At 34.9% G+C, this 17,220-nt stretch overlaps 1 protein-coding gene across 64 annotated transcripts in view; it reads right to left on the bottom strand.

The window, feature by feature from the left end:
* The window catches only part of ANK2 (ankyrin 2), a 678,115-nt gene that overhangs the window by 252,399 nt on the left and 408,496 nt on the right, over window positions 1–17,220 (bottom strand). For 7 of the 64 annotated variants that reach the window (NM_001386152.1, NM_001354237.2, NM_001354230.2 and 4 more), the window contains exon 1: window positions 13,920–14,329. The exons of the other annotated variants lie outside the window; for them this stretch is intronic. In NM_001386152.1, coding sequence (NP_001373081.1) covers window positions 13,920–14,048 — 129 coding nt within the window. In that variant the 5' untranslated portion in view covers window positions 14,049–14,329. Of the gene's footprint in view, window positions 1–13,919; window positions 14,330–17,220 lie in introns of those variants that run through there. 64 annotated transcript variants of the gene reach the window in all.

Genomic DNA, 17,220 nt, shown 5'->3' with positions numbered 1-17,220 from the left:
GGAAAGTTACAGAGGCTATGCTTCAGGGCAGCTAAACATGCCACCAATAGGCACTGAGTGTGAACAAGGCTTGAGATGAAGGGGAAAGGAAAACAGTGCAAATAGGAGTTATGAGAGAGGATTGCCAGCCTGAAGTAGTAGACTTCATGCATCCCAGAGGAAAGTTTCAAGCTCTACAAAGACTAGGAAATTTGAATTGAAAACAGGAGGATTAGTAGTTAATAAAACTATTCATTAAAAACTGTTACAGTTTTTAAACATTTGTTTGACTTTAAGATGGAAACACAGTGCATTAACATTTAAATAGAAATGGTACAAGGGAAGACAAAAATATTTTTCCAGAAATTTTTTTGTCTCATCCTTCATAACATCTTTAATTTCCTTGTTAATTTATAAAAATGAAAATAGCACAAAGCTCTGGTTCTGTTTCATTCTCAAATAACTGTTTATGCATTGGTACAATCTATGTGTTGCCTAAGGAAACTTCTCTTCCTAGGTTTGATTCAGGAGATTAACTTGTGACAAATTTGAAGTTTAAGTTTAGGACACAAAAATAGTGTTGGATATTTAGAATCAGTAGAGTATCTATTATGTCTTAGGCAAAGATGATGTGATATAGAAACCTATGGTTATTAGGTGCAGAGCAAGCTTGTCAAATCCCATGACATCGGGGCATTACGCTGTTCCTGGCTGGATGCTGTTCTCATCCTGCACATTAAAACCTCAAAGTACATGGGCTTAGGGAAAATACCTAAAGTTCTCCCAGGTAAACACACTCAGTTGTCACTATACTGCTTAGGTATGTAAAGAACACGCATGTAACATTAATACAGGTACTATCATGGTCTTTGATCACAGTTTGCTCAACTTGCAGTATCATTATACATTTGACTAAAACTGAAAATTTAGTTTCAAAAGTGAACAGATATTATATATCTAAATATTTTACCAAGATAAATTGAAACAGACAGGTGAAATATTAAAGACAATATTAAAGACAAAGAAAACAGAAAAAAAAATTTTACTGAGTTTGGCCATGCTGTAGCAAAGTTAATGAAAATGAGAAATGGAGTGCCTTTTTAGGAGGGACCAAGGGAGAGATTCGTTAGGTGTAGGGTTCTATCTGTATGTGGAGAGCAACTGCTGCTTATGGAAATTATTAGACAATCAAGTGTGATAAATAAAAGACAAAGTTAGTTTTCATCCTACTGAACCCTAGTTCAAAGTGGAAATAGGTCTCAGTTATAAATTATTAACACTGAAACAGAAACAGCATATTATACAGATACCTGCACAGATTTATGGCATGTCTTAGTTGCAAAAAGAAGTGGAAGAAGAGACAGTTATCTAAGTAATTCAAACTAAATAAAGTTATAATTTCACAAAACAGAAGGGAGATAGAAAGTGGTCAATGAATGTCAGTTGTAATTGTTATTTTCAACATCATGTAGTTAATATCACCAACAAATTTTTAAAAATCTACTTCCACTCATTACCTCAAAAAAGGGTCTTTTAAGTTTATTTTACTCAAAGAGGAATCAAGAATAAAATAGTAAAATAAGAAATGCATTACATCAATGCCAATATCATATATCTCAAAAGTACAATGTTCAGTATCATGCAGACATATGGTTAATAAAGACCAACTTCAGATATTTGAAAAATGGTACTATGAACAAAATAGTTTTCTGGTATTTTGGTTATATCATTTAATGTACTATATAGCAGCTCCTTGCATGTGCTATTTACTCAAATAATAATTTATGTAAAACTTGCAGTCATACGTTTAAAACAAACAAACAAAAATTCTGTTTTGCACTTGTAATTCCATTTTATCTTTAGAATAAACACCTAAAAATGGCAATTTCATAACATAATCTTTTTTTCTAAATACATCTGGGAGTTCAATAGCCAGCAAAAGTCATTCCAAGTTATACAAAGCAATTGTGTCTCAACTTTTTCCCTCTATGATGACTTAAACACAATGGGTTAATTTTTACAGAATTCTATAGTTGAAAACAATTTGCTAATACAATTTTTGATAGTTAAACACAAGCTAGATTGCTGATTGCCTTTGTACTAGTTATAATTTCCATATTTCTTCTAGATTTGTTCACTGGAATTCTACTATAAAAAAATCTGTCCCTTCTCCTCCACTTATTTACTTGTTTATTCAATTATTTATTTCTATTAGTAAAGACCCCGGGCTATTTCTTTTATTCTATGAGTTATTATTTGTTTTTATTAGTTATTTTGTTGCTCAGATTTCTGTGTATTCAGTCATTGGGAGCTGCTTCAGGTTGATATGCCCCATCATTTTCCGAGCCTGTTCTTACTCAAATCAGCCATTTTCCCAAGAAGTTATATTTTCTTCTGTTGGAAAATTATGTTTGGAAACCAAGATGCAGGCTAGGTTTGCTCATTGCTACTGAAGTATCCTTGCTTCTAGGCCCTCTAAGTGAAGGGAGGTAGGAAATACATGTCTGTATACACACAACGTACAACTCTACGTATTTGTTTTTATATCTATCTGTGTATATATTAAAAACAACGAGTTCCGGTGGCTCACGCCTGTAATCCCAGCACTTTGGGAAGCCGAGGTGGACGAATCACAAGGTCAGGAGTTCCAGACCAGCCTGGCCAATACGGTGAAACCCCATCTCTACTAAAAATACAAAAAATTAGCTGGGCGTAGTGGCAGGTGCCTGTAATCCCAGCTACTCGGGAGGCTAAGGCAGGAGAATCGCTTTAACCCAGGAGCCAGAGGTTGCAGTGAGCCGAGATCGCGCCACTGCACTCCAGCCCTGGTGACAGAGTGAGACTTCGTCTCATAAAAAAAATAAATAAATAACAACGAGTTCATATGATATTTTCATGGACATTTTTAATCATTTTACTAAGCATATTTCCTTTTGTCCTCTCACATAAAAAGGGGGACTATGGTGATATAATAAGTAATATTACTATGCACATAAGTGCTTTCAAAAGCATCATTTCATTTTAATCCTTAGAATTACTCTGTTTCGTATACGTGTGCATTTAAAAATAATTATCATTATTAACTCAGTTTACAGATGAGACAACTGAGGCCAGGGATCAGACATCCAGAATTTGGTAGAGCTAAGATTTGAATTAAGGACTCCAAACTCTAAACTTCATTCTCTTCCTACTATACCCAAAGAGAAAGATCACATTTTTATTTATTGGCTTTTTACATATAAAGTCTCTGCAATTAATGAAAATAAACATCATCCTGCCACCACTTCAAACTTACCACATATAAAGCAATGTGTTTTTACTTTCCTTCTGACTTGCACATGAAATTTGTATTTCTGTTGATGACAAGCATTTTTTAATATCATTGAAATATATAACTTTAAAGTTATTTTTATTCACTCTTCTCTTTTTTCTTTATTCCTAGTTGAGTGCTGATAACCATCCTGTTTTCCTCCCTGCTGCTCTTCTGGTATGACCATTCCAATCCAAGCCCTGTTCATCTCTCTTGGATTACCATAACAGTCTTCTGGGTGACCTTGACACTTCACTTCCCCCTCATAGTCTTTCTTCATCACAGGAACCTTCCATACCTGCTTATTTTTTGCTTCACTGAGTTCAGCTACTTCTTTGCTCTGTAAGTGCTCCAACTTTATTTCCAACCCCTTCCTTCCACTTTGATCATGCCAAGCTGTTCACCAGCTTCTATGTTCAACCTCTGAGGTACCCTCTCCACCTAAGCCAACCCTACCACCTACCTATCCTCAAGTCCACAATCTCTCTTAAAAGCAACCAGCTATTTCATATTACATGCCTGTATAAAAACATCTCATGTACCCTGTAAATATACACATCTACTATGTATTAAAAAAAAAAACAAAAAAAGAAAGAAAATTTAAAAGTTATGATACCTAATCTAGCTCTGTACTCTAATTTTTCCATTGCCATTGACCTTAAATATCTATCTAAAAGGGAAGTTACTTGAGAGAAAATATTTTTTTACTCAGTAAATAATCTTTATCTCTCAATTTAAAATTTGGCTCATAGCAGTTATTCAACAAATAATTCTTCCATCCAAGGGACTGCAATACCCTGAATTATATATATTATATACATCTGAACCGACTTTGGAAATAGGGAGGATGCTTGATGGAAAAGTGAAGCATGGCAAATGTTTTTCTAAGACATGAAAGAAGATAAATAAAACAAGCATAATTTAAAAGAGCTTCTGTTTGATTGTAAGTGAAAATGTGATTAAAACTAAGAAGCATCATTCTCTGAATTTCTTGATCAAAAATAAAGTTTTACAAACTTTTAAAGATCATTGGAGTGACTAAATTGTTTCAGATGCTCTTATACAACTTACTAAAGAATACATAACCCAGAAGGCCCTCATGTGAAGGCCAATTACAGTGATTAATGGGAATTAGTCTTAATCATCAAGTTTCCTTCAATGGCAAAATATTTGTCATATTAGCATATTACAAAGTCTTATTTTATATTTTGGTTCTCTTTTCTAGTATGAAAGCTGAAAGTTCTAAAATATTGTCCCTTGTGTTGAAAGACTGAGTATGAGTGCTTGATGTTATATACAAGGGCCCTTATATTCGATAATGTGTTTGTAGTCAGAGAATTGGCATCTGCTACTGGGTCCTTTGTTGTCTCCCTTCTCCCCAGTAATGGAAACGTGTGATTTCACAGATGGCTTTTCTCTCTCCCACCCACACCCAGGCTTTGATTCCTGTCCCTCGGAGCCCACAGTGAAGCCCCATGTTTTGTAGGTGACCACCCTGAACGAAAGCTCATTTCCTAAGTAACCTCTGTCCTCAAAGAAGTTACTGTTTCCAGGTAACCTGTTCCACTTACATTTTATTGGTTTCAGTCATTTTAGGATGTGACATGGTTTAATTAAGCATTCTGGCCCAGTTTGAGGCAGGAGCCATAAATAAGGAAGTTTGTACTACTACCTGTAGAAGAACTCAGGAGATTTATTTTCACTAAGCTGTACAATTGAAAGGTTTGTGAATTGCTGAGGTTTAAGCGTTTACTGTGGACTTTTGTTTATTACAGCACCCTGCAATTTAAAGGCAGCTATCATTACTGCCATCAGATCTTTGTAAAATGATTAATTAAACAATGATGATATTTCTCTGTGAATTTCTAACTCCTGGTATTATCAGTGTACAGAGTACCTAAAAGAAAAGTGAGAATAAACTTCAGGAGAAATCAACTGTGGTTCTCAGGGAACCACAATAAATTTCTTCCTTCAAAATGGCTCAAATCAGTATCTGAAATACAAAACAACCATAGAGCTTTATATGATTACTTCATTTTGTATATACCCAGTCTTAATAACTTCCATAAAATTTCATGCACCACAACAGGAACTATTTCCTTCCATTATTTCATCTCCCAGGTAACACCTATTAAAGAAAACTTGCGTCATATAAACAAAAATAGACAATCTCAATTCTAACATAGTGGCACAACTAACATTTCATTCTTATTATCTGTGAAAAGTTCCTATCACCCAAGGAGGTCTATGAGCTCCTTGGGTAAAGGTACTCTGTCTACGACATAGTGTCAGCTCAAAAAAAATTTATCTTAAATGAAGAAAAACCTGGAAATTCTACCAACTGTCTTAATCATTTATAATAATAAAGGGAAGCAAAGAAACAATTAAAATGACACAGAAGCATAAAGACAGGAAGAATTCTAACAGATCTCAGATCCTTATCATTTTATAGATGCAAAAACTGAGGTCATTTGTTTACCCAAGGTTGTAGTGAGTAGACAGAATTAAGCAGAGGTCTCCTGAATTTGTTTTTATGGAGCTTTAGAAGTATCTGGTAATTTTGTATAAATATACTTTATTAACTTAGTAAACAGCTTTCTGGTATGTTGCCTGTTTTTTATAATCTTAGATTTCACATCCACCTCTTATCCTGCTGAATGTCTTGAAAGGGTTATCGGCTAAACTTTGTTTCAAACGCAAAAATCATATTTGATCTTTATAATAATAAAAGTAAAGTAGATTATTAGAATTCATGTTTGTGAGGTTAACATTATTTATTTATGAAAAAATAACATAGAGATTAAGTTTTTTCGCTAAAAAATAGACTTTTGGAAAAACCATCATTAATTACATTCAAATACACAAAGAGAGGTCATTTTCAGTCTTAATTGAAGGCTTTTTTTACAGACAAACTATAAACAAGTGAGTTAAAATTGGTAATTAATAAGTCTCTATGCAAAAATATATAAAAAGCCAAGAAATATAGGTTAATGTGAAATAACACCATTAGTCTTAACCAAATAAATTGATTAGATTAAGATACATGTTTATAATGATTGTCATATCTCTGATTTTTTTTTAAAAGAGATGGGGATCTCTCTATGCTGCCTGGCCTGGTCTTCAACTCCTGGCTTCAAGCTCTCCTCACGTCTCAGCCTCCCAAAGTGCTGGGATTACAGACATGAGCCACCACACCCAGCCCACATATTCTCTTCCTTAATACTACTTACATTGTTTTCTGTTGAGGTGTTCCCCTATGATAAGCAACATAATAATGATATACAATGAAATAATTTCTCTAGAAAAAGGCTAAGTTGGATATAAATGAAACTCTAATGAGAGAAAAAAGAGTTTTCCCTGGCAAAGTTGCTAATGAAGTAAAGGAACATGGAAGAAGGAATTCCAACTGTACATGCTAAAAAGTACATTTCAGAATCCTGTACAACTGAGTAAGGAATCCCTTTCTGACTGCTCTGGAAACTGTGGTGAACCAGAAAGACAGTGAGAGAGCAGTTTCATGAAAAAAACAAAAACAGAAACAGAACAACTGACCAACCAACCAAACAAAAGATCCTGGCACTGTGAGAAGTTGAAGAGTTAGGAGTATTGAAAGAGAATATCTGAAGAATTAGGGGAGATAACTCATCTATGAATTACTTATTCCTTCTTTCTTACTAAATTAATGTCATATTACATAATTTTGAAAAGATCTATCAAAGTCAAGTACAAAACACAAAAGGTAGTTGTTGACTTGTGTTAGGAGTCCTAGAAGTGCTGACCTCTCCAAAGGTTTGAGGCCTCCAAGGCTGCTAAGCTACCAATTAAATCCCTAGGACACTAACTTGAGTTCTTTCAAAACAGCATAACGTGTTTAAGACATAATTTTAAATTCACAATGTAGTGGTCTTCCTTTAAAAACTTAGCTTGGATAACTTCTCCACCTGTTTGAGCTTAGTTACATAAAAGTCATTTACACACAACCTTATTTCCTGAAGATTATTCCATTAGGGCAAAGTTAGTCAAACTGCAGATCATGAAGTCTTGCAACTTATCTCTTAAACACTTGTTTCCTCCTTTCTGTGCTCAGAATTAATTGGTTATTACATAAACCAATTAGTCTTATTAAACTTTCAGAAAGTTGCCAGGGTGTCTCCTATCTACACATGAAAAAATTAGAGTCATACTGATTATTAGAAGTAAATCTACGATCGCTTGAAATTTCAAGATGGAGTAGAGTAGGGGTTGGTGGGGGAATGGAAATGTTTATTCTAGTCATTTCCAACCCTGGTTGGAATCACCAAGGGAGCTTTAAAAATATATGGATTATGGTCTCTTTTCCCTTCCAGTCTACCCCAGGATTCTGACTTATTATGAATGGGATAGAACCAGATGATTCTGTTGAGACTTTCCACAATAAACATTTAAAATCACAGCTCACCTTTGGAGCAAAAGGGTCACACTCAAATAGCTGATGACTTCACTAGCAATTTATGCAGAAATCCAGAATTTGAGAAAAGTCTTCTTTACACTTTATTTTAGTATATAATGTCTCTGTGACTGAGACTATTGTAAAGAAGAAATTATTTTGAGAAATACAAATAAAAAAGAGTGGCATAATGGAAAAATATAAACACAAGTAGATCATTAAATATGGCATGAGTAGAAGTCTTAACTTGCTTGTACTTTCACTGACTCTTAAATCTTTCTATAAAATATTTTCTGTATTCATGATGATGTCAAAATATAGTGTAAATATCATTATTTTTAATCAATTGGTGAATAAGGGGACTAATAAAATTAAGTTTGATAATAAAGGTAACGAAAGAATTAATTCTGATTTTTTAAAGATTAAAACATTTATATAAACACAGATTAATGTAATAAAATAGGAAAAAAATTACATTGAGTGTGTATAAGATTTTAGATTCCAAAAATAAGTCAATCCCTCATAGTAGCTTTTTTCAATTAAAATTTTCTTTTTCTTTCAACTGTCTTCTTAAAACTTACCTCAAGCCATACAATTGGGACTATTTTTGCCACAATTGCACAAATTTGACAGCTGTAAACCTAAGCTATTAGTCACCCATGCAATGGTCAAAAGAAGTTCTTTATAATTAATAAATATATAAATTTATTTATAATAAAAACTCAGCTTTATGGTGCTGGTGAAGAGTGTCATTAATAATGCAAGTCATTTATTTAAAGATAATGATTCTAGCCAAGAAAGGATTTGTGAACTGAGCTAAGAAGAGAAATCAGAGGAGTGATAAAGAAAAAGATAATGGGTTTTAAATAATAATAATGATTCTATGGAAACTACCACATTTAAATAGATATGGCTGAACATTTTTATTTAGACTCAAAATGGGAAGAGCAAACCAATAAAACTTTTGAATTTTCACATATAAGTAGACACTAAGACATAAGAAGAGCATCTGTCCAGATAAAACTCAAGACAGCACCAATCAACTTTATGTTAATGTGGTTTCTGGAAATACTGACATACTGATGAAGGGGTTCTGGGAAGTTAACATAAAGACAATTCCATGCAGGTTTTAAAAACTGTTGACTCAGATTTCCCATGTTTGTAGAGTTCTAGAATGTAACACATTATACAGTGCCATGTTATTCTGGCTGTGACTTGTATTTTTAATCACAGTGTATTTGGTTTGGTGTCCAGACATCTTTGTGCATACATGGTTCTTGACTAAGTGTTGCAACTTCCGTAGTTGGACTTCCCTTCAGAAACAGGCTGCTGAGTGCCCAAGCAGAAGGCTCAAAAATGAGAGGGATGACTAGGCTGTCCAATCTCCTCCTACACTGCAGTCTTTACCCACAGACCACCAGGGAAAGCATGCTCAGTTTTACACTATGTTTCACTTTCAACTCATTCTTATAACACAACTTTCAACTCATTCTTATAACACACTTTCAACTCATTCTTATAACACAATTCACTTTCAACTCATTCTTATAACACAATTCCAAAGTTATAGAATACATTCCACTCTCAACTTGCAAATAAAACACTTTAAATTAAGAAAAAATACTAATATAACTTCTAAAAATCTTCATTGCTCCATGTCCCGTTACAACTTGATGAGAACTTTATTATATATACTCAATAAGTATTATCATTGCTATCAATTAAATAAGCAAATGAACAAGAAGAATGTGGTGGGGGGGGAGATTTCCCCAAAGCCTATCCTAGAAATAAGTCTTGTTCTCACCAAGATAATAACTGTGTACATTTTTAAAAGCAAATAACTAATCAGAACCTTTTACTGTGAAATTAAATGAAAACAACTCAAAAGGAGGCTTTTTTTTAATTTTCTACTTAATCCCATGCAAAATCACCTATCAGTTTAATAAAAGTAGATTTGCAAATACATCTTGAAGTCCTAATAAAATTGTGACAAAAAATGATTATATATCATAGTCTATAATTGCCAGTAATTGACCTCAATTTGAAGAGCAAATGTTGACTTCTAATAGTTGATTTTCCAAGAAATCTCATGAAATATTTTGGTGCAATTTTGATAGAATCCCAACACGAATTTACATAATTTCCCCCTCAAATTCATCATTTAATTTACTATCACAGTATTTAAATTTCTTTCAGCTGTAGGAAGGTAATTTAGAAGTGAAGAAATTGAAGCATTGGTGGAATAAGTGATTTCCTTATAATCTACACCCAGTGTAGGTACAAGACCAAGAAATAATATTACTTTTTTTCTCCAATGAACTTTAGAGCCAGACAGACCTGGATTCAAATCCCAACTCTGCCACATGCTACTTGTGTGTGATTAAGCAATTTCCTTGTTTGTGAAATCCAGAGAATAATACCTAATATATAGGATTGTTATCATGGTTAACAGCACGATGTGTGTAAAGTGTCAGATACATGACCACATGGGTACTTAATAAATGATCACAAATATTTTTTCAGAAAATGTGAACTCTGGCATTTTAATAGTATAAATTAAAATAATAAAAAGAATGTTTTAAGCATCAGGATGTTAAGAACTAGTCATACATTTGCCTTTTAAGTCATATGATTCCAGTGAGTATTGTAGACATTATGATTGATTGGACAATAGTTTGTCTGTGCTGAGAAATGGTGAACATATTGATTTATTTGAAAATTTATGGTGATCCTGAATTTAAGTGATAAATATTATTTAAATATATACTTTATGTTCTTACTTATAAGTGTGAACTAAATGATGAGAACACATGGACACATTGAGGGGAACAACACACTGGGGCTTATTGGAGGATGCAGGTTGGGAGGAGGGACAGGATCAGGAAAAATCACCAATTGGTACCAGGCTTAACACCTGGGTGATGAAATAATCTGCACAGCAAACCCCCATGATACACATTTACCTGTGTAACAAACCTGCACATCCTGAACATGTACCCCTGAACTTATAATAAAGTTTTAAAATAAATAAAATAAATATATGTTTTACTTTCAAGAATAAATTTGTTTACTCATTCTCTAAAAATTATGTATTTTTCAAATTTTAAAAAACGTACAGTTGGGAAATAGTATCTAGTTGTGGAAAGAATATTCAACTTCAAATCACTTTTTAGAACTAAGTCTCGCAAATTTGTGAAAACGCTGATAAATCACTTAACCATTTTTTGTTGGCATCCTCCTCAATTCTAAAATTCTCAGATTCCAACATAAAAACTGGCAAAATCTGGACATACAAAGAAATTACTTGCTAATATAAGCTAATAATTAGAATAGAGATATTCTGATTTTTGTAAAATTCCAGATTAATGAACTCTTCAGCAAACATACTAAATTAGTTTAACTCATCTTAATCTTTGCCTATTTGTTTAAAGCTTAGTTTTATTTTAGCTCTACATAGTATGACACATACAATAGATATTCGGTACTATACCATATTTAAATATTAGCTAACCAGAGTATAGCCCAAAGAAATCTGAACATATTATAGTAAGATAAGTTCTGCTTATAATGAGGTTGAAAGTAGATCTCTTAGTATATATTGTTTTAATACAACACCACTGGCAACTTGGTAGAGGGGTTATAGTCAAGTATGCAACATGTTTCAAGTTTACAAATAATTAAAATTAATTTTAAATGTTTTAAGGAGTACAAAATAATAATACAAATATTCTTTTAATTAACAGTAAGTTTACAAAAGAATATTAAAATAAAGATTAAATGTGACTGCTTAATTGATTTTAATGTGCAATATCTTTACCTTGGTAAAAATCCTTCAAAATCAGCTTATTTATTTTCTTTCAAGCCCCATAATTGGCTTTTATCTGCATTGGGGTGGATCTCATCTGAATTTTTCAAATAAACAGTTTCATTAGTAAGAGGCACTACAAATGGATATGAAAATGATATACTCAATCATCTCTACAACTGATGCTTTCCCTTATGATGATAAAGTGGCATCAGCAAATAAACGATGATAATTTTAAAATTACTTTCTGCAGATGGTATTCCAGAATGCCACTAATAGGCTACCATTTTTTTTTCATTTCTTCATGAACTATCATGAAGGTATGTACACCTTAAGGTATGATGTACACCTTAAGGTATGATGATGAGGTAAATTTCTTTTTTTCAAAAGAAAATTGAAAACTGGTTCAGTGCTTATGTGTGTGTGGTGGGGTTGGGGGAGGGACTGTCTATCTAGAAAATAAATATAATATAGCTAAAAAGCACACCCACTCTTTTAGCAAGTTTGTTGTGCTGTGTAAATATCTGCAGTAGAAAAGGGAGGAGGAGCAATAGGTGCACATGAAAAAAGAGGAACAAGGACAAATACTAGCTATGCCTTTATTTTCCTAATTTACTCTGGTTCTAGCTTAGATATAATATCTACATGTGAAGACCAGATGATCCTGTCATATGACCACATTACTAACCAATAATCTTGCCTATGGTTCTGGATTCAAGCTAAAGCAATGAAGCATCCAAGCAACTGAGATTCTCAACAACAACTGGCACCTTTTATTTTAACAGTACAGTTTTTCAGTTTTTCTGTTTTTATCAAGGTTTGGAAAGGGAAAAACATTCAACTAGATACAGAAACAAACCAGAGTGAGAACAAGTGATTTTCCAGGTGTATGCATGGTACTCTAGCTAAGCAAAGTTGCTAGGTCACAGCTGAATGCTGACAAGGGCCGCTAGCCAAGAAATCATATACTGTGTTTTGGAGAACAAAAGATAAAAAAGATATAATCACAGAAAATTCTTTATACAATAATGTTCCATTTAGAGCATTAGAAACAGAACTGCAGTCGCTGTCAAGAAGGAAGTCGACCTCCACAAAATGGCTAATAATACTTTTGATACTAAAAAAAAGAATTAATGCAATCTTGAAACAACACGGCCTTTTAAAGGTCAGACAAGCAGTATGAAAGTTTTCCCCAGAAGGGAAATCATTATATACTGCTAATTTTATTTCTGTAGCCTAGTAACAGTCATTTGATCTAGTTGGTGGTGAGATAAGTAGTAAACTGAAATGCAATGAATCCCTATGCAGTAAGATCTCAACTCAATGTTGGTTCTCAAGTGTCTTTCCAAAAGTGAGGCAAAGACAACATCCCCCAAATTGAAAGGTAAACATATCTATTATGGAAGAAAAAAAGAGTCCATTGAGCATATGGATTATTAAGTATATGGATCCCCATTGCATCCCTAATCCCAGAGCTATGTTTAACAACAGCTTGTGTACAAACCACTATTTTAATGCTCTGCTAATGTAATAAGCCATTTATCATCTTCTGAAATTATTCAGTGACCTACTTTGTTAATTAAAACATTTACAGAGGTCTTTCTTTATAGATCTAGATCACTGACTAAATGAGTATTTCAGTTCCATCAAGTTGTAAGATTATTTCTATTATAAAGGAAAACAATATTTTAAGAGAAAGAAACAATAGTTCAATGTAAAAGGAATCAACATTTCATCCCTTGTTTAACCTTGGTTGTTTTGATTTCATTGCCATATTCAGAAAAGAAAATTAAAGGATTAATGATAGAAAACAAAAAAATTAATTAAAATTTTAAAAATGCAGAGACACAGCTCACTGCACCAATATTCTTAGTGCAGCTTCACTAAGAAGTGAAAACCGGGTGTAAACCTCCAGGAGGGAAAAAGAGAGCACATAAAATCTTTAGTTTATTCTTAACTAGAGGTCTACATCAAATATACAGTCAGTGAGAAGACACACTGCTAAAGATAGAGTAATAGAGATGAGGAACAAGAAGAAGAAAATACTTTAACCCTCCAACCGTAAATCAACCCCTTCCTTCTTCTGTGCCCAGTACTAAGAGTAGCCTGAAGAGATAAAGCACCTAGCTTTGAGATTAAATAAAGATAATTGAGACAAAAAAAAAGAAAAATGAAGTGGAGGCATTTTTGCCTTGCTTGGTCAAAGCAAAGGAAATTCACCCTGCTCAAGCATCTCCTCCCAATGCAGCAAATGTAGGCATGAGCTCTAGGCTGCAAACTGAGCTTAGAAATGGTGCAGGGGAATGATGGAAGGAAGGGAGGATGAAGTTGCCAGTTCTGAGGCTGATGGTGCTACACAGAGCTGCAGAGAAAGAGGGTTAAAAGGATGCTCCTCATACCTTTCTTTTTCGTTCCATACGTTCTCTGGGGATTTTCCGTTGTTTTTTTCTGTCTCTCTCAAGATTTTTTTCCTTTTCATCCAGATCAGCCTCTCGAACTTTTTTAATAGAAGCAGCAGCGTGAGCCATTTTGCAGAGGAAATCAGCAGAAGCAGTAGCAGAGGATCAGTTTCCACTCCCCAGCAATCCAGGTGATTTCAGAGCTCTATGGAGATGTGATTTTCCCCACCAGGGCAATGGCTGGCAGCCAGAACACTCACAAGATAATCCACTCCGCCCCCGAGCTAGGTCATAATCTTGCTCCAGCCTCTGCAGCACCCACAACTCACTACAATGAACTAAGGTCCCAAACCGAGACCTCCAGCAGCACACACCTGCACGCACACAGGCATAGGTGTGCACCCACACTCAGAAATGGTCCCGGGGGAAGGCGGAGCACTAGACTTCCAGCTCTTCAGCAGTTGGGTGGCTGCAAGTGCAGAGAAGCATCCTACTAGTTGAAAAAGCCATCCTTAGACACACATCACCAATTGGAACAGTCTTTGGGGACTCCTCCAGACAGACTGTGTCTTCTGACTGGAGCCAGGAAGAGGCCACCTCTGTGAAACTGCTAGGGGGTGGGTAGTTTATTGCTGCTTCCAACCACACCTCTATGCAGGGTGAGAAGAAAATGGTGCAGTCTCGCTAAAGGACTCTGCTGCTGCTGCTGCTGCTGCTGCCGTGCTACTGCTGTTACTGCCGTTGCTACGGCTGCTCTGCTGTAGCACATGACATGAATTCCTGCCTTTTTCATCTCACAGCCCTTTCCTTCTCCAAGGTTCATTTAAAGTAAAGAATCGACGTTGCTGTTTTGGGAGAAGAGGAGCACAGTTGGAGTTACTTGCCACTGCCGTGGCAATACAGGGGTGAGCAGGTCTGGGAAGGGCTAGAAGTAGCCGGGTCCTCACTGTACCATTTACAGATCCACGTGAGGCTGAATTAGGGAGCTGCATTAAGCATAGAAAAGAGCTGTCAGTGAACAAACAATATAATCTGGGCTCAGCGAGGTTTTCCTGGGAGAAAGAGCGGGGAGCTCAAAAGAGGGAGAGGAAGGCAGGGATAGAGAATGGGAAAGAGGAAAGCAGGCACCACCCAAGCCACTCTTTATCACTCAAAGAGGGCACATAGGTACTCATTATTAATTATCAAAGGCTTTTGTTAAATGCAAATTTACTTGAAAAGCAATGTGATGAAGTAAAGCAGGATTAGTATTTCTGAATGTTGCTGTATATACACCCAATAGGGAGGCTCAATGAAAGAGGAAAGAGGATACAAGCTGTTAACTCAAGAAGATGAAGTTCTCTATAGTATTCCAATTACCTATACTGCCATAGTTTTATCGAGGTCTAATAGGATGCCAAGGATGGCACTCACTTCTTAGTTATTCATTCTTAGCTGGAGACAGAATCATACCACTATATTGTATATAGAGGACTATGGACGTTCCTTCCCAATACACACAACTGTTGCATTTTAGGAGAAGGGTTTTCACTATTATAATCATTGATAGTAAAACAATATAATCTGAGTCTACATATATGCTATTGTTAGGAAAAGAGTAAAATAACATTAAAAATGCTCTCCTAGAAAATGATATGTTTTTGTATCCTAACCCTTATGACATATCTGCTTCCATAAATGAAGAACGTAAAGTCTCATTTCTTGCACTACATAAAGATAGTAAGAGAGCAACTCTTCTAGGAGGGAAAATACTAATGTGGATGGTACATGTTATAGTTTATATAACATAATTTATCATTTTTCCTTTTACCTAAACTGAGTTGAAAGCACTAAGATTAATAAAATATCCCATAAGCAAGCAAAATGCATTCCACAGTAGTACAGAGAACCTAGCACTTAATCTGATTCGAAAGTCAAAGAAAACAGTAATCACCATGGCATGGATCAGTGTTGTATTGTTGATATGATGGTCAGTCAACTTACAGAGGGTAGAGGAAGGGAGAGAAGGGAGCAGTTTTTATCATATATGGGGAGCATTAGCTTTCTCTGATCTGAACAGCTGAAAATTCATGTTCCAAAAAAACAAAAATAAAAACAAATCAGCTTCATTAGTATCTAAGCCCTTCAAACTCCCTTGTCTGAAAAACCTTTTACATATTTACAGAGAAATACACATAGTCATTCAGGCTTTCTGCAAAGATAATGTGTGGATGTGGGGAGGATTCTTCTATCTCCTTGGCCAGGGGAGTCACCGTCTACCACTTGACATAGCATACCTCAAACATTTTGTCCTCTGAAGTACTCTGGAGAATCAGCTGTTGTGGTGTCAAAGCAGTCATTAGGAAAGAAGGTGGTTCAGGGAAAGCAGCAAGACTAGAGCACAGGGTGTTCTGAATGCCATCTGGCATTTTCTTTCCTTCTACTTTTAAAAAAATGTTCGCAACAAGCAAGTCTTACTTGATTGGTGGATGTCCATTTAGCTTAATAGCATGAGTCCCAAGGAAATGTGGCTAAGCCTCCTGCAATGGTTTTCCTGTTGTGAGGGTGACTCCAGCTTCTTCTGGCACAAGACCTTTCCACTGCCCCTTTAGAATCTGCTGATACACTATCAAAATATCCTCTCCTCTTCTAGAAACCTCATTAAGAAAGTGAAAAATCATCAGCACAGATAGAGAAGAAAGTGAGGAGTTCCTGTTGTCAAAAAAAACCTTTTATTTCATTGGCTTTTAATGAGCTCAATATAGACTCTCTTGTAAAATCAAACAGTTATTAATTTCATTATGTTGTTTTCTAATGCCAGGAAAATTATACATTTTTACACATTTTTTAAACTTCAACTTAATAAGTAAAAAAAAATTTAGGGATGGTTAACAGAGTCTTAGTCTCTAAGACTCTTTTACTTTCTATAAACAAGTATGACAGCTCTTTTTATCTTTGTCTCATAAAGAAAAGGTAATGAACCAGGTGATAGTTTGTTAGATGTTAGATTGACCGACATACGCATTGCACAAAGCACTGTGATTGCCACATCTTTAAGAATCATAATTACACTACTTTGCTTACATTTTCTCATAATATCTTTAAGTGTGACAGAGAAGCAGAGTCACCATGTTTTTATAGATGAGGACACTAGAAGCCAAATAATTTTTTCCAGGTATCTTTCCTTGGGATGGCTCTCAAGGGCAGGAGGGCCAAGGTTCAGGGCTCTTAAATCAACTCACCTCGGAAAAGGAACCCACTCAAAAAGCCCTCATTGAGGGCTCTTACTATTCAAATCACAAAACAGGAAATCCCAGACAAT

The sequence above is a fragment of the Homo sapiens genome, chromosome 4, assembly GCF_000001405.40.
Source record: "Homo sapiens chromosome 4, GRCh38.p14 Primary Assembly".
Lineage (NCBI taxonomy): Eukaryota > Metazoa > Chordata > Mammalia > Primates > Hominidae > Homo > Homo sapiens.
Note: the sequence above shows the minus strand (reverse complement) of the source record. Positions and strands in the feature narration are given on the sequence as shown.